The following is a 25,568-nucleotide window of genomic DNA, read 5'->3' as shown; positions in this document are numbered from 1 at the left end:
TTTAGATTAAGCTATTTTGGAGTTTCCATGTCTAAAACCCTCTCAAACTTTTAAAAGTGAAAAGCATCACTCAAAAGCAACTAAGTACTTTCTTCTAACACTATAGGTGCACATAAATAAATCAATAAAACTGGTCCCGGGGCTATGAATATATATGGAAAAATTAGGTCCCTAGAGATCAGTTTTCAGAAAGCCAAGGGGATGTGAAAATAGAGGCTAAAGCAAACGTCTCAATACTTTGTAACAGGGTGGCACATTTAAGACAAGGGCACCAGGTTTTAAAATGATCCTGTGCAAATGGACTGTCGGATGGGACATTTAATGTACTGCTTTTATCAGGGATAAAGATAGTTGGTGTATGGGTTTATTTCTTCTTTGAAAAAAGTTAACCACAATATAATTAGCTCTCTTTTTTGTCAGTCTGGGCTGCTGTTGATGAGGTGTCTAGAGGCCTTCTGGTATAGGTGCCTAAAAGCTTAAACTGCATTTAATTATTATTATTACTCAATGTCAGGCTACATAAATGAAAAGAGATAAAAAAGAATTGCTTGCAGCTACATTGCCTTGGTTTGTGATTTCATCACATCTCACAAGCGAAGCAGGTTTGAGCTGGCACTTGGGGCATGAAACCTCTAAGGAAAACCCAGGCAGCTAGAGATGCTGTTTCAACCGAGTTGAAAGTCTCCCCACATGCTGGGGAGGGTAGAGGCTTGCCACACTTTGATTTTGCTCCCCAGCTTTATTTTTAAATACCGTAATAACTGTCTGACTTATTTCGGAGAAGGAAAGCAAATAGGGGAAATGGAGTCACAGGGAGAGTGGTCTTAAAGGCACATAGTCTGGAATGCGAAGATTTCTTGGCTCCCAACGCTCATTGATTGTCTGTCCTGCTGCCTGAAATACCAGTGAGGGCGCCAAAGGAGCAGTGGTATATCATGAAGGGCTCAGCTAACTGTGGAAACTGGAATGGGCTTTCCCACCTGAATGCAGGCAGAGAGCAAGGTGCAGACAAGGAGGCTTGAAAGGCAGATGGACCAAGTTCTGCCCACTTTTCCTACAGTCTATTTATCCACAGGTCAGGATGAAAACAGATGGTTTGCCAGAGGGCAATATATTGGCAGACAGTACCTTGCTTTTTAGGCATGAGACGTCAGGCTTAGGAACAAGTGCTTGGCACTGAGTTAATTAACTCTAGACATTCAGCTCAAGGATGACCTTCTTTCTAGCTCCTTAGATTAAAAAGATAATGAGTTAGGCAGCCCAGAATGGTCAGAAGACCAGAAGCTTTAGCTGCATTCTAGCCCCACCTTTTTTTCTGCTGTTCTCTAGCACCTTAGTTTGCAAGCCCCCTAGGACAGGGACCATGGTGTGCAATGTTATTGAACTTCCCCAGGATGAGTGCTGCAGTTGTATACAACAGGCAGAAAACCAATGTGCTGACTAGTATACTGGTTCCTTTTCTTAGCTCCTGGCCAGCCAGTCCGTTGTAAAATTTTCTTTAGATTATGATGCCAGGGACTATTGCTTTTTGAAGGGCTGCCAGGGAGAGTTCAAGCCATTCAGGCCCTTCATCAGTTGTGTCACCATCCATTTCAGTTACCTGTTGATACCTAGCAAATCGCCCTAAAACTTAGTGGCTTAAACTACAACTACTTATTTAGTATGTGATGCTGTGAGTCAGCTAGTTGAGCAAGGCTCAGCTGGATGGTTCTTCGGCTGGTCTCAGCTGGGCTCACTCATGTGCTTGTCATCAGCTGTGCGGGTGGGGGTGGGGGGGCGTGGAGGGGGCGGCAGGCAATGGCCTCACTCACACATCTGGTGATGGTTGACTGTTGGTTGGGAATCCTACCTTAACCAGCAAGCTATTCGGAGCTTATTTACATGGTTTCCAAGAGCAGAAGCAAGAGTTAAATCCTAATGCACAATTGCTTTAAAAGCCTTTTTTTTTCTTTTTTTTTTTTTTTTTTTCTGGTAACACATGTACAAACGTTGCTTTGGTCAAAGCAAGTTACATGACTGAGCACAGAGTGAAAGAGACAGTGGCAGGGCAAGGGACAAAGAAGGGGAATGATTGCTGCCATTTTGCAAACAGTCTATCATGTGCAAAACAAGGCCAAGAACAAACTTTCAAGGTGATACTTCATTCTTAGATTTCCAAGATGCTAGAGCCAGAAGTCCTAGTTGAGTCCCTGTTTCTCCACGTTTCAGGCCTCAGTTTCCCCATCTAATAAATGAGGATAACATCCATTTCACAGGGTTGATCCAGGATCAACAGGGGCTAAAAATTATAAATAAATGTTGGTAATGATGCTTCCACAACTGTACAATGGGTTCACAACTTCTCAACCTACTTGCTCATCTCCACACACAGCGTTTCTGCGAGTACAGAGGGCTCACTATTGATAGTGGTCCAAGAGGGGATTTTAGGTGTCACAGGAACAGCACCTTGAATACGATTGACTTATGTGTGTGATTCACCTTCCCTCTGTCATTCTCTTTCAGTCTTTCCTCTTAGGAGAAGTCTCAGCTTAATGCCAATGCCTTCCCCTTTTGCTAATTATTTTATTTTTTGTAAAGAGGGGGTGTGTCACTTTGTGGCCGAGGCTGCTCTTGAACTCCTGTCCTCAAGGGATCCTCCTGCCTCAGCCTCCCAAGGTGCTGGGATTACAGGCATGAGCCATGGAATGCCACCAGTGCCAATTTGTCTTTGACACCTCTCTCAACCCATGCTAACCATCTCCCTCAGAGTTTTTGGCCCTATTTAGAATTGAATAATGCTTTATTTTCAATTTTTACATTTGCTTTCTATTAATGACAAATGATACGTTAAAAAATATATAAGCAAGCACTAATAGTTTAAAAAACAATGCTAAGTATATAATAAAACGTGGTTCATTCATTCTTGCGTTCAACAAATATTCGTCCAATAAATATATGTAGAGCATCTCCTATGGGCCAGGATCTTGCCAAAGGCACATCTGCGAACCAAGGAAACCCCTGCCCTCGGGGAGCTTGCATTCTAGGCGTGGGAGTCGTGATGGTGGTCGGAGAAGGACTGGATTTGGGGATTTGCTTCTTGCGGGGGACACAGGCCTGCCCGTGGGGCCCGCCTCCCGCGCGGAGAGCGCTGAGGGGTCCGGAGTGACCTGTAGGCTGAGACCCTGGCTTCCCCTTGCCTAGAGGCCGGGCAGGAGGCGCGGAGCCCGAGGTCGCGGGGCTGAGGGCGCGGGGCGGGCCCGGCGGGGCTCGGCTGCGGCCCGGGCTGTGTCTGCGGCCCCGGCGGCCGCGCCCCTCCTCCCTTTCCCTCCGGCGGAGGCTGACGTGGAGTCAACAGCGCTGGCGGCCGCGAGAGGCGGCGGCGCAGCGGCTCGGAGGCGCCGGGCCCTCTCGGGGCCGCGCGGGGCCCGGGCGGCGGCGGCGACGCGACGTCGCGAGGAGGAGGAGGCGGCGGGGGTCCAGGAGGCCGGCCAGCGCATGGAGGAGGAGGCCATGAACGGCGACCGGACTGAGAGCGACTGGCAGGGGCTGGTGAGCGAGGTGAGGCCGCGGCGCCGGCCAGGCGGGATGGGCCGGGCCGAGCGGCCGCCAGCCCCGGGCCCGCGCCCCCAGAGAGGCCGAGCTGGGAGGGACGAGAGGGGGGCGCGCACTCCAAGTGGCCGCGGCTGCCGCACCCGCGCGACCCCGCCAGGTGCGCCGCTCCTCCTGCACTTTCGGGTCTGCGCGGGCGCCACTTTCTTCCGCGCCATCTGGTGTCAGCCTTTGGGGAGGGGCCTTCCCCCCAAGGCAGGGGTTGGCCCTGGATTGGAGGCTGAAGCCCTGGGATCCGGGAGCAGAAGGTGCCAAGCCCCACCTGCCTGCCCGCTCGCCACTGTTGTGGAGCCAAACAATTGGACGCCTGGGACTGAAACGGGAAGGTGGTGCCATGGGGGAGAATCCGAGCCCTGGGGTGGAACCTGGGCCAGGTGGAATTACCTGCGGCGGTGGTTCGAGTTGGGGGAGTTCGGGGGTCCGCTGCAGCCGTTCACTCATTCACTTGCTCAATTCAATCAACACGTGTTTACTGCAGGCCTACCATGTGTAAGGTGGGGAGGGGCATTTATCGAAAAAGTGAAACACAGGTGCAGAAGTGATTCGATTTGTGGAAGCACAGAACACCGTGTCCCCCTGCCCTGCGACTCTTTTGTCATAAACATACCCTGGGGGTCCACTTTCAGGATCCTATGCTGTTTGCTCTTCAGTTCCCCCTAAGAGTTTGCCGGCCTGCCGGGAGAAGCTGCCGGCCTCTCCAGGTGAGAGGGAATGCGGATTTCTCCCTCTCACCTGGAGGCAACCAGGTAAGTTGCCCTGGTTTGCCACCATTTGTGGGGGCAATTCCTGGTGTTACTTACCCATGCCGGGGAATTTCTCCCTTCTGAGAACCAAGCTCCAGCCAAGGCCAACTTGGGGCTTCCTTTTCTTTAATCCTGTGCACACAATGCAGAGTGTATCGGTTTGCTCTTTTCCTTTCCTTGTGGGTTATGGGAAGGGAAACCCTCTACTCCCTCACTCCTTTCATCGTTTTCTGGGTCTCCAGGTCAGTCTGATAATAGTGCTTCATGCCCAGTGTGTGCAGAGCGTTGTGTTTCTGAAGAGGAATGACATGCGGTAGCTCCTGCCCTAGTTTAGTTTGCTCAGCATTGGTCTAGTAGTTGAAAGCTCTCCTAACTGTCTGGTGTTATGATCCATTGTATTGCAGCCTGGCTCCATCTTCTCAAACTGTCAGGCTTTATGTTAAGGGGCAGATCCTCTGGGGACCTTGTTTCTGGTCCCATCAAGAATCATACTTAGTAGTCAAGGAGGCTGGAGGTAGTTCTCCTTAGAAGTCCAGTGTTAGGCCCTTAAATAGCAGCAGAATCTTCACTACTCCAACAATTGCATATCAGGTGCCTGTTAGGAGTCAGTACATTGTGAGGTGCTTGGGATTCAGTGGTGAATAAGACAAAGAACTCCCCTACCCTCAAAGAACTCCTGGGGGTTTCATGATATAGTCTGGGAGGAAGGTCATACCGTAGACAGTGAGAGTGAACTAAAGGATGGAAAGGCTTCAAGTGCTAAATGGCATGGGGTGCCCCTCAGTTGGCTGGGCTTAACCTTCACCTTGCCCTGACCACATTATTGTAACAATAGGCTTCCTCACTAGGCCGTGTGCTTTGTTTGGTTCTTTATTCCAGGGCCTATACACAGAGCTCTGTATGCAGCAGGTGCTCGAAAAATGCTTGTTGAATAAGTCAGTGAATCCTGAAGTAGGTCCTTCAGGAGTTTTCCTGCCCATCCCAGCAGAGTTTCTCCAGAGTAATACCTCCTTAACTTCACAAACATGAGGTGGGCACGTAGCCAGGGGCCATGGGGGAGGTGAAAATGGGTCTAACTTACTTCCCACCTTAATAATAACTAATGACTATTTTTTGAGTGCATCCTTCATATTAAGCATTTTACATGGCCTCATATTCACAATGACATAAGGTAGGAATTCTTTCTTATTTTACAGATAAGGAAACAGTGGCTCAGACAGGCTAAGGAACTTGCACAGAGCCTCACATCTGGTAAGTGGAAGAGGCAGGATTTGAATCCTGGTCTGTCTGACTCATTGCTTGAGCCTTGCTTGTCTGAGCCTTGCTAGGCCACACTTGCTATTTTAATCATTGCTCATCTGTCTGTATCTTCTGCTAGATGGCAGGCTTCCCAAGGAAGGAGACCATGTCTGATTCAACTTTGAGTCCGCAGCAAATGGCTTGGTGTTTCTTAGAGTATGGCCTACAGATCACCTGCATCAGAGTCATTTTGGGTGCCTGTGAAAAATTCAAGTTTATGGGTCTCTCCCAAATTTACTGTAGTGAGTTGAATTATGTATCCTGCTCCCCCCACCTCCCCACCATAGCTGCATCCGAGACCTAACCCCAGTAGCTGCAAATGTGACTTTATTTGGAAATAGGGCCTTTGCAGATATGATCAAGTTAAGGATCTTTAGATGAGATCACCCTGGATTTAGGGTAGGTCCTAAATCTAATGACTGATACCTTAGAAGAGAAAGGACAGAGATTTAAGCCACAGACACACAAGGGAGCAGGCTATGGGAAGACGGAGATGCATGAAAGGAAGACCATGTGAAGACAAAGGTAGAGATTGGAGTGATGCAGCCACATGGCAAGGCATGCCAGAGGTCGCTGGCAGCTCCCAGAAGCTGGAAGAGGCAGATTCTCCCTCAAAGTCCCCAGAAAAAAACAACTGTTGACACCTTGCTTTTGGACTTCCGGCCTCTATAACTGTGAGTGAATACACTCCTGTTGTTTTAAGCCACCCCGTTTATGATCATTTGTTACAGCAATGTATTAGTCCGTTTTCATGCTGCTTATAAAGACATACCTGAGACTGGGTGATTTACAAAAGAAAGAGAGATTTCATGGGCCTGCTGTTCCACATGACTGGGGAGGCCTCACAATCATGCTGGAAGGCAAGGAGGAGCAAGTAACATCTTACATGGATGGCAGCAGGCAAGGAGGAGCAAGTAACATCTTACATGGATGGCAGCAGGCAAAGAGAGAGAGCTTCTGCAGGAGAACTCCTCTTTATAAAACCATCAGATCTCGTGAGACTTATTCACTATCACGAGAACATTATGGAGGAAACTAGCCCCATGATTCAATTATCTCCCACCAGGTCCCTCCCACAACATGTGGGAGTTATGGGAATGCAATTCAAGGTGAGATTTGAGTGGGGACACAGAGCCAAACCATATCAAGCAGCCACAAGAAACTAATACACCTACTGCTGAAAAGTGCCTGGGGTTGCAGCCCCCTGATCTGCCTTTCTTACAAGCTGAGCTGCCCAGGTAATTCCCCTGCCCAGTCAAGTTTGGCTGGCAGGGGTTCCATGGGTGTGACTGGGTCTGGTACCAGACAGGTAAGATTCAGGGAAGAGTGTGCTCAGCAGCTGTGGTGTTACGAAATGGTTTGGGGACCTGGCAGAAGGACCTGTGGAAGACATCACTGCACAGCTAATCTGGACTACATGGGATTTTCGTGGGCTTGCATTTATTTCTGCAGAAGTCCTGGGTGCTGTCTCCCACCCTGGATCCCCTCTCCATCACCTGCCCAGAGCCCCGTCCTCTCTTTCAATCAGTTGCTTCCTCCACTTGCCTCTAGGAAGCAGTTTTCATTTAAAACAATCCTACAGAGGTCAGTTTTATTTTCATATATTTGGTATAATAAGCTGAAATTACAGCCTTCTTTCAGGCCTGGAAGTAAACACACCCATGCGTGTGAAAGAAGCATGACCAGGGTTCTGTTTTGGAAATTAAATGTCTGGGGAGGGGCAGATATTCTTATCGCCACCTGAGGTGAGCTTTCAAGATTGGAGACATCTCAAAGTACAGGTATGCAGGCAATCAATAACTTTTTATTTCCAAGATAAAAATCCTGGTCATCGCTCAGCCCACCACTCTATGATAAACTATACATAATTCCATTTCACTATTTGAATTTTGGTTAATTAGATAGCAATCAATCTCCTATTCCTTGAGCATGTTGTATGCAGGGGCCAGGAGGCAGAAGACAGTTAACCATGGGCCTCCGCCCAAAGTAGAGACTGATTTTTGGTTTTTGTCGTTGTTGTTTTAGAGATGAGGTCTCACTCTGTTGCCCATGCTGGAGTACAGTGGTGCGATCATGGCTCACTTCAGCCTCCATCTCCTGGGCCCAAGGGATTCTCCTGCTTCAGCCTCCTGAGTAGCTGGAGTTACAGGCACGTGCCACCATGCCCAGCCAATTTTTTTTTTTTTTTTTTTGTAGAGATAGAGTCTTGCTATGTTGCCCAGGCTGATCTTGAGCTCCTGGCTTCAAGGAATCCTGCCTCAGCCTCCCAAAGTGATGGGATTATAGGCATGAGCCACCGTGCCTGGCCTAGCCACTGATATTTGGAAAGGAGAGGTTGAGTAGGTATAGAGTCCAGCTCTGTGGTTAAGGTAAAGACCCAGCTTTGGGTTTCAGTTGTTGACTTAGACTCTGAAGATAATAAGAGACCTGGGGGGAAGTCTTGGCCCTGCCTTTCTCTTGGTACAAAAGATCAAAAACCCAAACCAAAGTGGATCAGCTTAGAGGCAATTTACTGGCTGATGTTGTAGGTTGTACTGTGTCCCCAAAACGATGTGTTCAAGTCCTAACACCCTCCCCTCAACTGCCACCACACAAACACCTGTGAATGTGACCTTATTTGGAAGTAGGGTCTTTGCAGATATAATCAAGTTATGATGAGGTCATCTTGGGTGGGCTCTAATCCAATGACCTGGTGTCCTTATCAGAAGAGGCAAATTTGGGCACAGAGATGCACAAAGAGAAGACAATGTGAAGACACAGACGGAAGAAGGCATGTGACAACAGAGGCAGAAACTGGAGTCATGCAGCTACAAGCCAAGGAAAGCCAAAGATTGCTGGTGACCACCGGAAACTAGGACGAGGCAAGGAAGAATCCTCCCTGAGAGCCTCACTGGGGAACACAGTCCTGCCAACACCTTAATTTTGGACTTCAAACCTCCAGGACTGTGCAACAGTTGAATTCTGTTGTTTTAAGTCCCCCAGTTTGTGATAATTTGTTATGGCAGCCCTTGGAAGTGACTATAACCAACATGACTAGTAATTCCATGCTAGGGCTGGCTTTTGGCTGATTCACCACTCAGACAGTTTCTCTCCATCTTTGAGTCTGCTTGCTGCCTGGCTTTAGTCTAAGCCTCCCATCCTTTCAAGTTCAAGTCCAGAGGGGAAGACAGACCCTTCTCTAGCAGATCCTGTGAAACCCTGGGATGCTCCATTTAAATCCACTTAGATCACTCACCTAAACTGCAAGAAATCGCTCAGGCAGGTAGTGATCTGATTGTTTTAGGCCTGGAGTTGTGTTCAGAGCCCTGCTGCATGACACGTGGACTGTGAGTGGAGCTAGGGTAGATCCCCAAGTAAAATTGGGGGGCTTCTTTTCGAAGAGGGAGAATGGATGTTGAGGGAATGACTGCACCATGTAACTTCTCTGACCCTCATTTTTCTCGTCTTTAAATAGGGTAGTAAAAGTACCTACCTCATAGGTGATCCTAATTGTGAGGATCAAATGAAATAATAATGCTTATGAGTGCATAGGCCTCTGCCGGGCAAGGCAGCAGTGGAACAGTGAGCATGAACCTCACGACAGAAACTCTGGTGTGTGAAAACTATAATTTGCTATAATGCCTTAATTTTGATTACAAGTTTTTGTTGTTTGAGTAGTGGAAATGTAATCTGCATATGAAGCCACACCACTCCCTTTCCCTGAATTTGTATTTAAATTCTAAGGGACTTAACGAAATACTAAGACTAAGGCTAAGTCATTGGCTGGGGTGCTGGGGTGGGCTGTTTTTGTCTACCCACACTCTCCTAATTTAGTCTAGTATCTTGCCCTTGGTCACTCTAGGTCACTGTTGTGTCCTCCCTCATCCCCCCTCAGGTGTCCTCTGGCCCTCTGGCTGTCTGCACCACATCCATGCTACTTTTGGATGAATGAAGAACAAATTGATGAACTGCTTTTCACTGTTCTGGGCATGGTGAACTTTGCTGTCTTGCCCAAGGTGGGGCAAGTTTTATTCATTTTTAAAATTTGGCCGGGCACGGTGGCCCATGTCTATAATCCCAGGACTTTGGGAGGCTGAGGCAGGCGTATCACCCGAGATCAGGAGTTCAAGACCAGCCCGGCCAACATGGCAAAACCTCGTCTCTACTAAAAATGCAAAAATCAGCTGGGCGTAGTGGATGTGCCTGTAATCCCAGCTACTCGGGAGGCCGAGACAGAATTGCTTGAACCCAGGAAGCAGTGGTTGCAGTGAGCCAAGATCGTGCCACTGCACTCCTGCCTGGGTGACAAGAGTGAAACTCTGTCTCAAATAAAGTAAAATAAAATAAAATAAAATAAAATAAAATAAAATAAAATAAAATTTGTTCCGCTGCCCCTGAGTTACTCTAGGGCTAATTATTATGCTGCCCTCAAATCACCCTGGGGCTATGGGAAACTTTGGGAAACTGTTGCACACACAGCATGTCACAACACCAAGGCTGGGTCCAGGGAATTGGGGATTAGTTTTCACTTCCTAAGAAATAAAGGTGTATTTGTTAGGGTAAAGTCTAAGCCACTGTAAGAAAGATGCCTGCCTCCAAAATAGAGTGGTTTAAATAAGGTAAGACATTTGTGTCTCTTTCTTGTGAGTGTGGTGGTTCAGGCATGGAGGGCAGCCCTGCTCCTTGAGTCATCTAAGAATTCAGATTTCTTTTATCTTGTTGCTCCACGATTAGGGTATGGTCCTCATCTGTGTGGCTGAAGCTTCTTGCTGCCACATTTGTGTCCCAGCCCATGGGAATGGGGAAAGAGAGAAGGGGCAAGTCCAGGGCAAGGGGCTTTTCTTTAATTAGGGATGAGTGGAGAATTGTACATATCACATCTGCTCACCTCCCATTGGTCTGAGCATAGTCATACGGCCACTCCTAGTTGTAAGAGAGGCTGTGAATGTAGTCTGTAGCAGAATGTGCCCATGTTTAATTTGGGAGGGTCCCATTAAGAAATAAGAGTAGGCTGGGCACCATGGCTCACGCCTGTAATGCCAGCATTTTGGGAGGCCAAGGCAGGTGGATCACCTGAGGTCAGGAGTTTGAGACCAGCTTGGCCAACATGGCAAAACCCAGTCTCTACTAAAAATACAAAAATTAGCTGGGCGTGGTGGCACGCGCTTGTAGTCCCAGCTACCCAGGAGGCTGAGGCAGGAGAATCACTTGAACCCAGTAGGTGGAGGTTGTAGTGGGCAGAGATCACGCCACTGAACTCCAGCCTGGGCAACAAAAGCAAAACTCCATCACACACACACACACACACACACACACACACACACACACACGCACGCACGCAAAAAGAAAGAAGACTATATAGGACATGAAAAAGATAAGTTATCAAGAAAAAAATGAGTAGGTTGACATATCAAAGTTAAAAAGTTATTCTCTTTGGCGGACTCTGTTAAAACAATAAAGAGTCACAGACTGGGAGAAAATATGTGCACAACACACATCTAGTATCCAGAATATAAAAGGAACTCTCACTACTCAGTAAGAAGAAAGGCCGGGTGCGGTGGCTCACTCCTGTAATCCCAGCACTTTGGGAGGCCACGGCGGTGGATCATGAGGTCAGGAGTTCAAGACCAGCCTGACCAACATGGTGAAACCCTGTCTCTACTAAAAATACAAAAATTAGGCAGGCATGGTGGTGTGCACCTGTAATCCCAGCTACTCAGGAGGCCGAGGCAGGAGAATCGCTTGAACCTGGGAGGCGGAGGTTGCAGTGAGCTGAGATGGCACCAGTGCACTCCAGCCTGGGCGACAGAGTGCGACTCCATCTCAAAACAAACAAACAAATGAAAGAACAAAAACAAAGAAACAATCTGAATTTTTAAATGGACAAAAGGATTAAATAAACCCTGCACTGAAGAAGAGGGATGGCAAATAAGCAATGAGTAGAGGCTCAGCATCCTTAGTCATTAGGGAACTGTAAATGGAAATCACAGTGAGATACCACAACATACCTATTAGAATGGAAAAGCAACAAGTTACAAAACTCATCAGCTAAGGGCTGACAGGGACGCAGAGCAACTAGAAGTCTCATACATTGCTGGAGGAACTGTAAAGTAGTAAAGTCACTTCTGAAAAGGTTTGCAGTTTCTTATAAAGTCAAACACACACTTAACTAAACAACCCAGCAATCCTTCTCCTAGGTAGGATTGAAGAGAAATGAGGACACATGTCCACACCTGTCTACACATCTATGTATGTAACTCAAGCAGTATACAACCGAATAACTTTCTTTTTTAAAAAATTATTTTAGCAGCAAACGTACTGCTCCTTGTGGAGCAGGGCTACCCCATAGGCAGTGTGCCCAGAGCAGCCACAACCAGATAACTCATTTAGGGGAAGTGGGTTACAGGGTACATGGTATAGGGTAAAAGCTGATAGTTTTAACATCTGTGATGAGTGACTATTTTGTACTCATGAATTAATGCTGTCTTCTATCTTTTTAAGAACACCTTTATTAAGGTAGAATTAATATATTAAAATGTGCACATATTTTAGGTATACAATTTGAGAGTTTGGATGTGTGCATACACTGGTGTAACCATCACCACAATCAAGGTATACATGAAATTTTTGAAAAGTAAAAATTAAGGCTAGGCACGGTGGCTCACGCCTGTAATCGCAGCACTTTGGGAGGCTGAGGCGGGCGGATCACCTGAGGTCAGGAGTTCGAGACCAGCCTGGCCAACATGGTGAAACCCAGTCTCTACTAAAAATACAAAATCAGCTGGGCATAGAGGCACACGCCTGTAATCCCAGTTACCCAGGAGACTGAGGCAGGAGAATCGCTTGAACCCAGGAGGCAGAGGTTGCAGTGAGCCCAGACCGTGCCACTGCAGCCCAGCCTGGGCAACAAGAGCGAAACTCTGTTTCAAAAAAAAAAAAAAAAAGCTAAAAATTAAAAAGACAGAAAACTGATCAATGATTACCAGAGCCTGAAGGTACAGTGAGGAAATTGGCTGCAGAGAAACATGAGGGAATCTTTTGGATTTATGGATGTATTCTATGTCTCGATTGTGATGATGGTTACATGACTGTGTAAGCTTGTTGAGATTCATGGAACACTTACACCTAAAAGGGATGAAATTTTCTCCAAATTATACCTCAGTAAACTCAGTATTTTTCAAAAGGAGGTGAATGGTTATTCAAAACAGTTAGCTATTGCTACAGAGAGCTTTACTCCTTGCCTCTCTAATTCCCGAGCCCATCAGGTTTCCATCAAAACTAGCTGTGTCCCCCAAATTTCAGCGCCAAGTCCTTGCTCTGCCCTCTCAACCCCAGGCTGATTGGGCCAAGCTCAGTGTTCCTTCTTGGAGACTGACTACCAAGCTCTCATTTGCACTCTGATTCTGCCCTTTTCTCAACTTGGAAGATCCTTTCTAGTCTTTTGAGGAGTTATGGTCGAGGGCGCCACTGGAGAGACTCAACTGTGCCCTTATATCTTCAGGAGCAGGCCCTGAAAATGGAAAAGCCAGTCAGTTGTTACCTGTGTTCTGCTGGGCTATGCCTTTCTTAGACGTAAAGGCAGAATGTCTGGCTTCTTAAAAAGGGGGAGAGATATATGGGGGAGAATTAGGGTAAGGGTTGCAGGAAATGGAAGCAAGGTGGGAAGATAGGCTGTCAGTTAATATTTTAAAATACTCTTTTTTTTTTTTTTTTTTTTTTTGAGTTAGACTCTCACTCTGTTGCCCAGGCTGGAGTGTAATGGCACAGTCTCGGCTCACTGCAACCTCTGCTTCCTGGGCTCAAGTGATTCTCCAGCCTCAGCCTCCTGAATAGCTGAGACTACAGGCATGAGCCACCATTTCCTGGCTAATTTTTCTATTTTTTGGAGAGACAGAGCTTTGCCTTCTTGTCCAGGCCAGTCTCATATTCTTGAGCTCAAAGCTATCCATCAGTCTCAGCCTCCCAAACTGCTGGGATTCAAGGTGTGAGCCACCACTCCTGGCTTAAAATATTCATTCTTATTAGCTGTTGTTATTAGATGAAAACACCATGCACAATAGCGAACAATAGATCTTAGACACTAATGTAGGCAGTTGGTGAGGCTTGATGGAGTGGGGAAAAGCTTCTTAGAAGTTGAACTTTAACTGAGCCCCTTCCCTTTGGTTGAAGACAGCAAGGGAGATCATGAGAAGGCATGAGCACTGGGCCAAGTTGGTGGCCTTTGCGGAGATGCTCCAGATAAAGGCAGAAATCACTGGGTTGAAGTACAGCAGGCAATGAGATTGGATAACCAGGGAGGACCAGATGGTGAATGACTTCAAAAGCCAGGCAGCAGGATGTGTCCTGATGTAGCTGGTAATGGGGAGGCACTGAATGCTTTTTTTAACTGGAGTACAAATTGATGAAAATACTTGGGGTAGGTTGGTTTCCACTGAATTCAACAGTTACTGAGTCTGTATTGTCTGCAAGGTACTATGCCAGGCCGTGATGATATAAAAACTAATTTGGTGACCCTGCCAGGAATCAGGGAAGGACAGGTTAGGAAGAGATACCAGTAATCTAGCCTTTTCTGCCACCATCAACATTCTCAATTATTTCCATTGCACCTAAGTCCTACCACTTATCGTGTAGTTTTCAACCTAACCCTTGACTTACCTGTCTCTCCACTGGACCCAAAAGATCTTGAAATCTTTGAGAGTAGGGACCATATGTAACCTTAGCACTTAGCCCTGTACTTTGCCCATTGCAGGTGCTCAATACGTGTAGAATATATGAATGCTTGGATGTTTGAATGAATGAGGTGTTAAGGGGTTACAGCATTGATGGGAATAGAGAAAAGGGGATGGCTATGGGAAACATTCTAAAGGAAGACCCCTACAGCAAGTTACGGCTAGCAGGATTGGAGAGATGGAATAGAATGAGTCCAAGATGGCCCTTGCTGCATGGCTGGAGGGTGGTGGTACTGGAAGTGACAGGAGGTTAGGAGATATGAGTTTGGTGAGAAGAGCATGGGTTCTGTTCAGAACTGTGCATCATTCAGAGTTTCCTGGGAGTACTTGAGCTCTTGGGAAGGAAGATTAGTGCTTACTGGGAACATTTTCGATGAGCAGCTATCTTCATAGTGGCAGGCTAATTTCAGAGTAAGTTTATTAAAATTAGTGTGTGGGGGAAAGTGAGCTCAACTGCTATTTTTAACTGATGGGATTCATGTTCTCTCCTGTGCGGGGAAATTCGCATATGTGCTCCTAAAATTGACAATTTCTACACTTATTATGTTAAAAAAATTAATATAGTGAGTTTCACGTTGAATAAAATACATTGGCTGAAGATGAGAAGAGGACTTTGGCCAGTCCCTGAATGAAAATGACCAGAGTGAATGACATTTACTACTCACTGCCTGGTTTTCCACCAGTAAAACCATACTGGGGCTTTAGTACCTCCTGGCAGAGAAGTTGCTTAAGTTGAGAGTCTGCACCTCTCTCTGGCCCATCTGGCAAAGTGGTGGAGACCTGGTTCCCAAAGAACACAAACCTTTGGTTGATTTTTACTTTGAAGTCTTTCCACTTTCACCTCTTCTGGTCCACTCTCTTCATTATCTGAAGCTATTTTATTGCAACAAACATCCTAATACTGTTCAGGGTATCATATTTTCTTCAAGTCAGTTTATCCTCTGTACAGCTAGCCAATTAAACCACCTTTAAGAAAAAACATTTTTCATGATGTCCTCTTACTCGGAAACCTTCAGTGGTGGCTCCCCATCACCTGGTGTTCGAGCCTCTTCATGCTGACCTTGACCTATCTTTCTGCCTGTCTCACTGCTCCCCACATACGCTGGCTGCTTCAGCCAAAATGATCTGCCATGCATTCTGGCTCCCACCTTTATCTCACACCCTGACCTCATCCAGGTGGGCCTCCCCCTTCTTCTCTGTCCACAGCCTTCACCAGTCCTTTAAGGTGGGGTGGAACCCCACATCCCTCCTAAAATCCTCCATGATGCCAATCTTGAAGTGAGCTCTTCGTCCTGTTGCCTTATTTGGCTTGGCTTAAACTGTGATCCTTTCACACTCACATGCTACCTAAGAAAGAGAGGAGCTGTATCTCTGTGTAGATATTAACTCCTGTATAAGTTGACAAGCTCCTTAGAGAAAGGACTGTGGCCACCTGTGTTGGGGCAGGAGACAGGAATTCTGGAATGATGATGTATCATGCAGTGGCTCAGGTAGTGCAGGACCTGAGGCAGGGCACTGATACAGAGTACAGAACCAACCTGGTTCTGGCCCATTTGCAGAGCCTCTACTGTGATCTCACATCCTCATTTAGGGAAAGTAGCTCATGGATGTGCCTGCCCACGTATAGCTCTATTCATGGCAGGCACAAAGGTGGGGGTCAGTGATGTCAGGAGAGAGCCACCATTGTAGTGGGTTGGCTGGTTGATGTGAAGGAGGAGTGAAGGACAGCCCTCATATGTCAGTGGGACAGGATGTCTAGCAGAGGAGAAGGTCAGCATTCAATGTGCCAGTTACATAGTGAGCATTACTATGTGCAAAGCCTTCTGCATGTGACAATTGCCTTCAAGGAGTTACAGTGCAGTGGTGATAGAGAATGGGGATGAGGACACTATGCTGTGATATGCATTGTGATAAGCGTTCTTCAGGTTAAGGGGAGGCTAATTTAGATTGGAGGATTGAGGAGGGTTCTTAATGGAGGTGGCACCTGGGCCAGGAAGGTTGGGCAGAATTTCAGCAAATGGAGATGTCAAGGAAGGGTGTTCTAGACAGAAGGAATAGAGATGGCAAAGGTACAGACATAGCAAAATGCAAGACTTGTTGGGGAAATCTCAGATCATCTGGTCTCTGGTGGGGACACATAGTGGAGCATCAGGTGTTGGTTAGGCAGACCTCGAATGCCCTGTTAACTGTATAGAGGGTGCTAGGGTCCCAAGTACCCAAGTATGGCATTCATTCTGGAACCAAACAATGGCACAATAGTCTCCTTTGAGTAGAAGTTGCTTGGATGCATTGGGGAGGGAACCGATCTGTCAGGAGTGTATGTGAGGGACTGGACAGGGATGGGGCTTGGGGAGAGCACAGGAGCCTGTCTGTGTCAGTGTCTGTCTGTCCCTTTGCCCTTATCCACTTTCGACTCACTTGGGTCTCCCGTTCACAGCTTCACTGCCCCTGATAATGCTCTTGCCAAGGCTGCCTAAGACCAGCCTCCTAACTGCCACACCCAGTGGTCTTTCTTTAGGACTCGATCCTGGCTGTGCAGCCTCTGATACTCTCCTCTTCTTTTCCTACATGCTGGGCTTCTGCATCCCTCCATGTGGCTACTGGCCATGTCCCCAGGAACTAAACACCTTACTCAGTGTGCCCTAAGTGGAACTCATGCTCCTTCTGTATACACTTTCCTATCTCTCTTTCCTGCTTCCATCCCGCCTCAATGGTATCACTGTGAAGTCTACCTTGATTCTTCTTCCCAACTTACACCTCCCAACCCGATTCTAATTCTTATTCATTAAGATCCATCTTTCTGGCTTTGGAACAAGTCCTTAAATAGGGCATCCGTGTCACCATTCCCACTCTTTCACTGTGGCCAGATTCTCAACCCCTCTCCCTGGAATATCTTCTAGGAAGATCTTTCCTCCATGCAGTTGCTAGAGTCATCATCTAAGCATTGAAATGATTTTACCACTCTACTGCTGAGAGCTCTCTGATGGCTTTCTAGGGACTGCAGAATGAAAGCCATGTGCCTCAGTTGGCCTCCAAGGGCCCTTCCCACTCCACACCTCTGGTAACTCCTGTAACCCTTATTTCCACCACCTCCCCTACCCTTCATAGTACTCCTGACTCTGGCCAGATCATTCCATGCCCTATAACATCTCTAAGACTTGCTTATGTCCAAAGGTGACCTCCTACTCATATGTTAAAGCCCAGCTCAAATGTCACAGACTCCCCTTGGGTCTCCCACTTCTCTTGGGCCCCAAGAGGTTGGGCAATGAGTGGTACATTGCATTTGGGAAGATGGTATGGGGGATTGTTGGCAGGGTAACTCGGTTCCTGAGGATGGGGGTCCTCAGAATGGTGGGTGGTCACCAATGTCTAGCACAATGCTAGGCACAGGATAGACACTTAGCAGTAGCTTGTAGAAGGGAGGGAATAAGAAGGAAAGACAATTACCTTGTCATTTCCAGGATTCTCTTTGAAGCCAACCCTGCTGGTGTGCCCCACTTCTAGTCTCTCCTCCAGACCAGTCATGGCCCTAAGAGAGCTGGGAGTGTCTGAAGTGCCCCAGAACATGCCCAATGTCCCGGCCAGCTTCCCGGCTCAAGTTGCAATGGGTTTTGTAAGTCACCAAGCTCCAGAAATATGTAGCTACCTGGTTTTGAGCAAATCTCCTGACTTCTCCAATACCTCATTTTCTCTGGACTTTGTACAGTGAGGATGACAGTACCTACCTGTGTCTCTCGGTTAAGATGATGATAAAGTGAGATGATGTATGTGAAAGTGTGTTTTAAATCCCCCAACCCTCTCCAGGTGAGGCGATGCTCCTATCCTTGCCTGGGCTTTGGGAAAACCCTTCCCCGGGGCTTCAGAGATGCTCCTGCAGAGGGAGGTGATGTGTCAGCTGCTGACTGTCAACATGATGCCATGGAAAAATCATATTGATGGGGCGCAGATTGCTGTGCCTGCTTGCTCTGCCATCTGCAGACCCCACGACCAAGGCAGTATTGGAGGTGGCAGGGATGGGACTCTCTCTCACTAGCCAGTTCCAATTTGCTTTCTAATTTGCTCCAACCTGGTGAGTGCTGCTGGGGTCAATCTGTAACCTTTTCTTCCTTCCCAACATTCTCTGGCTTTGCCAGACTTTGCAGCATGCATGCAGGCTGCTCAGTCAAGCCTGGGCAGCTGCCATTTCTGCGGCCTCTTCTGAGAACCTCCTAGTTACCTTCTGACTTCGTACGCCTCTTATTGTGCCCAAGTCCGAACTCATGCCCAAATCCAAACTCGTGCCCAAATTGTTCTGCCCCTCTTCATTCATACCCCTCTCTGGCCTTCAGAGCATCTGCTGGCTGCTCTCCTTTGCTGATTTGCTGGGGTTTGAGTAAGCCTTTTATTAAGCTGTTTTCAGTGCTTAGGGAAGAAGACTGCAATTGCTCACAAAGAACTCATAGCAACCTCTCTCTGGGATTTTTGCAGGCCTCCTCAGCACCCTCCCTACCTCCTGTGTCTCCTTGTACCTTTCCATTTCATTAATTACTGCCTGATCAAGTCTCTGGAAGCAAAACTCTGACTGTGACCCTTCCTCACTCACAGACCTCCATAGCTCCCGTCAGCTCTCATGTTGGCCCAAACTCTGCTGTCATTTAAGGCCTTTCTTACTTTCATCCAAACCAAACTTTCCAGACTTATTTTGACTTTCTCCTTTTCACACATCCTGCACTCCTGGAAAACAACCACTTCTATTTCTGTCTGAAGCGCATGCTGCCACACACCCAGCCTTTGATCAGGCCGTGCCTTCTGCCTGGAACTCTTGTTCTCTTCCTTTTTCTTACTTCTCTCTCAAGGTTCAGTCACAGCTCTCTTGCCCCCAGACTAAAAGCCCTCCTCCCCTTCTGTGATCTCACAACATCTAGCCATGCCTCTCTGACCGCGTGTCTCCCTGGCCGCCATGGGTTGGATTTACATGTGTTTGTGCCTTGCCTGCAGCTTGGAGTTGCTCTAGTGAAGGAACTGACCAATTCATCTTTGAATCTCTCACTGTGACCAGCACAGTGTCCTGCATATAGTGGAAAAATCTAAAAGAGATGACAAACCTCATGGTTTCTCAGTTAATACTTAAATTGAAAAACTACTGAATTAACACGAGGACGTTGATTTTTTTTTTCTTTTGGTCCAAACAACATTCTCATCTGTTTCTTTCCCCAAAGTCCCTTTGTATCCATTTTTATCCCACAGACATGACTTTCAAAATATAGACTGTGATCTTTTCAAGGTAGTAAGTCAAATCACCTTTTAATAAGCTCTAAGGGATTTATGAACTTACTGTAAGTCAATTCCTTCCTCCCTCCCTTCTTTACCTTCCTTCCTTCCAAACTGGAATTTTATTATCTCAGATATATTGCTTGAAAAAAGCCAGGCAGAGGCTGTGGGTGGGAAATCATTTGGTTATAAAGAGCTACTTTCTGTAATGGGATCTGACCTGTATTATAGCGTGTCTGAACATACACCAGGCTTTAACTCTCTTCTGCTCTAGAATTCAAGCTTGCTCCAAAGGTTATTTGCTACCCACGGTTGACTCTCATGCAATTTCTTTGGCCCCTATGGTCTTCTCATTAAGAAAAATAATGATAAAAATAATTCTTTACATTCGTCTTTCTTCAACTGGTATTTACAAGGATTTACTGTGTCTCAGGCACTCTGCCAAAAGTTGGGGTATACAGTCCACCAGGATGTAGTCACCTTACCCCCCATTTCCTTATGGAACCCTCATAACAAGCTTGTGGATTAGACTGAGCAGGTGGTAATGACCTCATTATATAAACAAAGACATGGTAATTCAGAGTGTTCGTGAAATGCTCAGAAGTTCAGCATCCTTCTTTATGGTCACTCAGCAAGAAGCAAGCAAGAGGAGCTCGGTTTTAACTTCCTGTTGGATGTTTTTCCCTCTGGACCCCAGGTTTGTGCTGGGAACCCTGGATTCAGGCGCCCTGCATGCTCACTTCCAGACAAGAGGCGGCAGCCCTTGCATGCTGCAAGACCGCTTTCCTCATCTCTGCTTCTGCTAACCTGATCTAAACCCAAGAATGTGAGCTGAAAAGGAGACTTTTGGGGTCTGGTTCTAGATTCCTGCCCAGACTTCAGTATAGGCTGGAAATTGAGCAACAGTGGGCTAAGGAGTCCTCAAGAGTGGGGTCAGGTCATCCTGAAGGGATGGTCTCATAGCCCCTCTGTTGTGGGAGCCTGAAGACAGGTGCACCAGGTGACCCAGTCCTGTCTGAGCAGAGGCTCCAAGAAAGTGAGATAATCTAGTAACACCTCAGACTCACCACCCCACCCCATGCCCATTGTAAAGAATTTCCTCAGGCAGCCATGAGGGACATGCCCCAGACTGCCTGAGCCTGTGAATGAGGAAAGGTTTGAGAAGAAAGTGAATGACTGAAGGTGTTATCTAGAGATGAGAAATGCCTTGGGTAACAGTGGATTTTAACTTTAAACACCGAGCAATGTAAATTCACTGCACCCTCCAAATTTAGAAAATACAGATACATATAAAAGAAAAAAAGCCACCTACAATTTGACTACCCAGAGCTGACTGCTGTAATCTTCCATGTTTCCATGCCCTAATTTCTAAAAATGAATTTATAGTGTATGCTGTTTTACTATTTGTATCGAGGCTAACACGTAGACAGCAGAGGCACACATTTTAAGTGTACAGCTCAGTGCATTTTTACATGTGCACATACCTGTGTAACCACCACCCAGAGCAAGTTCTAGAGCATCCCCAGCTCCCCAGAAGGCTTCCTATGCCCTTCTGAGCCAAGATATCCCTCCTGCCTCACCCAGAGGTAACCATTATTCTGACTTCCAGTATCATATGCTGTTTTTATAACGTGTTCTTATTCCTAGTCAGCACTACTTATTCATAAGTAGTGGATAGTTGCCACGTCATTAACTCATCATCATCACCATCATGGTCGTCATCGTCGTCGTCATCATCATCATCATCGCCAGAGCGGCCACTTGGGATTCTGAGGTATTGACAAACCATGCCTGCATGGGACTTTAAGCCTATGTTTTATAAATACCTGCTGTATTTTTCCCCACTATCAGAAAGCCTAAATGGCTGGCATGAGGGGTTCTGTTTGGTTCTAGCACAGGCTGCAGGGGTGTCAGCGACTTTGAGATTTTTTTTCTTCAAGGCCTGCTTGTGCCTTCTGTGACTTGCTTAGTTTTTTTGAATATACATGTGTTATGCTAAACATCCTAATAACCATTGCTGTGTATGTTCGAAAGGGCATCTCACATCCTAACACACGTTGTGAGATGCCCTTTCGAACATACTTTTGCTCTGGTGTTTACAGGAGAACAAATACTAAGGTGCTTGTTTGTCCCATTCCTCAACTTCTTCTTAAAGAGGAGAGAAACTCACTGGACAATTTAAGCACCTGGGTTTAGAGAGAGGTTCTTTTAAGATGACATTGGCAAGGAAGGAAAATGACTATTTTGATTGCTGGAATTTGTGAAGACACCAACAAGGAGGAGAAAAGCTCCACCCGTCTCCCAGAAATACCCTCCCACTCAGTGCTGAACAGCTGAGTCTTGATTATGTAGGCATTAACAGTGCACACTTGGAAACCTGCCTCTCTTCACCCTCTCTCAGTTTAGGTTTTGATTATTTTACTACCACTATCACTACAACCACTATGCTGATTGCTACCACTACTCTTATTATTATTACTAATGGCAATAAAATTATATTAAGTTTCCATTTGCAGTGTGCCAGCCACCACATGAAGATTTTTTAATGTAATTTTCAATTCAGGAACCTATATGAAGGAAAAAGGAAACATTCATTGAGCACTTTTTAATGCTTTGAGTCCTGTGCTGGATGCTTGACATATGACTTTCAGTACAGCTAAAAGATAAGTAGACATCAGGGAATATGCAAGGAAAGCCAGAGCTGGGATTTGAACTCCAGGTTTCTCTGATTCTGAAGTCTGTGTTGTTCCTATTCTAACACAGCCTCACAAAATGAGTGAATGAAGGAATGAATGAGTGAATGAGTGGACCAACCAACCTGGTACACTGAAGCACTAATTTTTAAGAAGTCTGGATTTTAGCCTGGGCGTGGTGGCTCATACCTGTAATCTCAGCACTTTGGGAGGCCGAGGCGGGCGGATCACCTGAGGTCAGGAGTTTGAGACCAGCCTGGCCAATTGTCTCTACTAAAAATACAAAAATTAGCTGGGCATGGTGGTGGGTGCCTATAATCCCAGCTACTAAGGGAGGCTGAGGCAGGAGAATTGCTTGAACCCAGGAGGCAGAGGTTGCAGTGAGTTGAGATTGCCCCGTTCCACTCCAGCCTGATTGACAGAGTGAGACTTCATCTCAAAAAAAAAAAAAAAAAAAAAGTCTGTATTTTAGATTGTGCTAGAAGGGAAACATTCTCTTACTTAAAACCCTAACTACATAATGCCCTGATGTACTGCTTACTTACTTTTGTGTCTCAGATAGCCAATGTCATCTGTCAGTGGTGACACAGAGTTCTGATTGTGAAGTGGATTACAAGTCTTACAATATTGGGTGTCCAATTTCCTCATACCACATATTTGGGTATGTTGGTATTTTATTTAGGATTAATTTTAATGAAATACCAGAATTAATAATTGCTTAAATAATATTGAACTTTATATTTTTCTGAAGTGCAATACATTTGGAGGTAGGCATTTTAGGGCTGGCATGCTGGCTTACAATCTGTTAGAGACCTAGCCACCTTTCATTTTTCTGGTTCATCATTCCATGTGTGAGGCTTTCCACTTTGCAGACCACTATGTGGCAAGAAGGAGGAAGACATAGGCAAGAGTGAACCTGCTATGGTTTGAATGTCCCCTTCACAACTTACATGGAAACTTAATTGCCATCGTGACAGTGTTACTAAATGGCACATTCAAGAGGTCATTAGGTCAGGAAGGCTCTGCCCTCATGAAAGGATTTAATGTCATTATCATGGTAGTAGGTTTGTTAATGAGGGCGATCAGCCCCCTTTTCTCTCTGTCTGGAGTGCTTACTCACTATGGGATGCCTTCCCTCATTTGTGTCATGATGTAGCAAGAAAGTCATTGGCAGATGCTGGTGTCATGCTTCTGGACTTCCTAGCCTACAGAACTGTGAGAAATAAATTTATTTTCTTAATAAATTGCCCTGTCTCTGGTATTCTGTAATAGCAACAAAAAATGGACAAAGACAGTGCCCCTCCCTTAAAGGAAATGTTTCAGAAGTCTGAAACATTGGAAAGGAAATGTTTCAGACACTGTTGCTTCCATCTCACTGGACAGTATTTTATATAGGGGATCCTCATAGTACCTACCTCAGAGGGCCTCCTTGTGAGGATCAAATGAGCTAATGTGAAAAACTGCCCAGAACAGTGCCTGCCATCAGTGTTTTGGCTGACGCTTCTATGGTCATACCTGAAATCTGAGCCCATCAGGCTTCGTAGGTCTTTCCCAAGGACTTATTTTAACTACTATAGTCTTTGTACCCTTCCACTTAAGTGGACAGCAACCAGTGCTGATGTTATCCAGGAAGATGATGATTGTGGATGATGATGATGAATATAAGCTGTAAGTAAATGGCAGCTGCATGCCAGTTACTGGGCTAAAAGCCTTCTTTTCATTATCTCATTTAATCCTTTGACAAACCTATAGTACCATGAAGTAGGTACTATCATAGTCCTTATTTTACAGATAAAAGATCTTAGGCTCAGCAAGCAATGGATTTCCTTGCCCAAGATCCTTCAGCTAGAAGTGGTAGGGCAGGAGTTGGAATCCAGAGGGGACTCTGACTCACACCCCGGGTCTTACTTGGGAGTATCCACTGCCTTCTATCTTTTTAAGTCTCTCTGCCTCTGAATTTCATCTCCTTTTGGAATGGTCAGCCTGGACATATATTTAACAATCCATTTTGACGCTACTATTTATGATGATCCTGATGACTACTGAATTTTCTTTTGACCTTTTTTTCTTTTTTGAGACAGGGTCTCACTCTCTCCCCCAGGCTGGAATGCAGTGGCATGATCATGGCTCATTGCAGCCTCAACTTCCTGGGCTCAAGGGATCCTCCCACCTCAGCCTCCCAAGTAGCTGGGACTACAGATGTACGCCACCACACCCAGCTAATTTAAAAAAAAATTGTAGAGAAGGAGTTTCACTATGCTGCCAAAGCCTGTCTCAAACTCCTGGGCTCAAGCAATCCTCCTGCCTTGGCCTCCTAAAGTGCTGGGATTACAGGCATGAGCCACTGTGCCTGGCAAATTTTCTTTGTTGAAAGCGAGATGCCCAAACCTCGAGCTTACCTGAATTAGTGATGTCTATGTGCACTTCTCCAAAGGAGTTTTTAATTTAGTATTAGATCTTGTAGATGCACACGCAAAAGAGTAAACCGAACAACCCATTTTATCGTCATTTAAATGTTCTCCTGATAAATAGTGATGACAGAGGTGATGATGGTGGTGGTCAAATGTTCTGTTAAGGAGAGCAAGTCAAATCATGCCCATCATTGGCTTGCAGTCCACTGGTGATCTGCAGCCAGTGAAGATTTTGCCATTTTCCCAGAAAGCCATAATTAATTTGGGTCACCCATGGGAGCCTTTTGCTAGCATAATCAGCCCATCACAGTTATCAGCCAGAGAAACAGACCTGGATGGAGTCCCCACCTTGAGCAGTGTTTACAATTTAGTTTGTCCTCTGAAAACATCAGTGATTTGAATCACGAGGATTATACACCCACCAATGTCCCAGAATAAATCTCCGCCTGACTTTTTGCTGGGGGGGCTGAGTTCTAAACTGACAGTTCTTGTTAAGGATAGTTTCTCACTAATCAGTAGTATCTGGAGTTTATGGAAAGAAAATAAAATCGACAAAGATGAAGTGCAGGAGCAAATTAACAGTGCTCAGGAAAATATGAGCAAGGCGCAGTGAGAGGGAGAAAACAGCTCCCAGCCACAGGGCTCGGCTGGGGAGGCCTGCATGCTGCAGGCGGAAATTCAGGGCCCAAGTGGCCCTTTAGCGATGACTCTGAGCTTCTCATCCAGAGAGAAAGACTGTGTTGATCATGATTGGTTGAAATCTCAGCAGATGGTGGTAAGAGCTCTATTTACTTGGATAATTAAAGTAGTAATGGATTTGCACGGCTGATTTCAAGATCTCAAGTCTGCAGATGACTGCCTTTTGGGGCAGACTGG

General features: G+C 46.2%; 1 protein-coding gene across 8 annotated transcripts in view; it reads left to right on the top strand.

Moving 5' to 3' along the window:
• The window catches only part of CCDC149 (coiled-coil domain containing 149), a 176,691-nt gene that overhangs the window by 63,851 nt on the left and 87,272 nt on the right, over positions 1-25,568 (top strand). For 2 of the 8 annotated variants that reach the window (XM_017008827.3, XM_011513906.4), the window contains exons 1-3: positions 3,312-3,537; positions 5,528-5,582; positions 21,236-21,362. The exons of 1 other annotated variant lie outside the window; for it this stretch is intronic. In XM_017008827.3, the coding sequence (XP_016864316.1) occupies positions 21,300-21,362 (63 nt within the window). In that variant the 5' untranslated portion in view covers positions 3,312-3,537; positions 5,528-5,582; positions 21,236-21,299. Of the gene's footprint in view, positions 1-3,311; positions 3,538-5,527; positions 5,583-21,235; positions 21,363-25,568 lie in introns of those variants that run through there. 5 more of the 8 variants (XM_011513907.4, NM_001330644.2, NM_001130726.5 and 2 more) reach the window with 3 other exon arrangements.

The sequence above is a fragment of the Homo sapiens genome, chromosome 4 (assembly GCF_000001405.40).
Source record: "Homo sapiens chromosome 4, GRCh38.p14 Primary Assembly".
Classification (NCBI taxonomy): Eukaryota; Metazoa; Chordata; class Mammalia; order Primates; family Hominidae; genus Homo; species Homo sapiens.
Note: the sequence above shows the minus strand (reverse complement) of the source record. Positions and strands in the feature narration are given on the sequence as shown.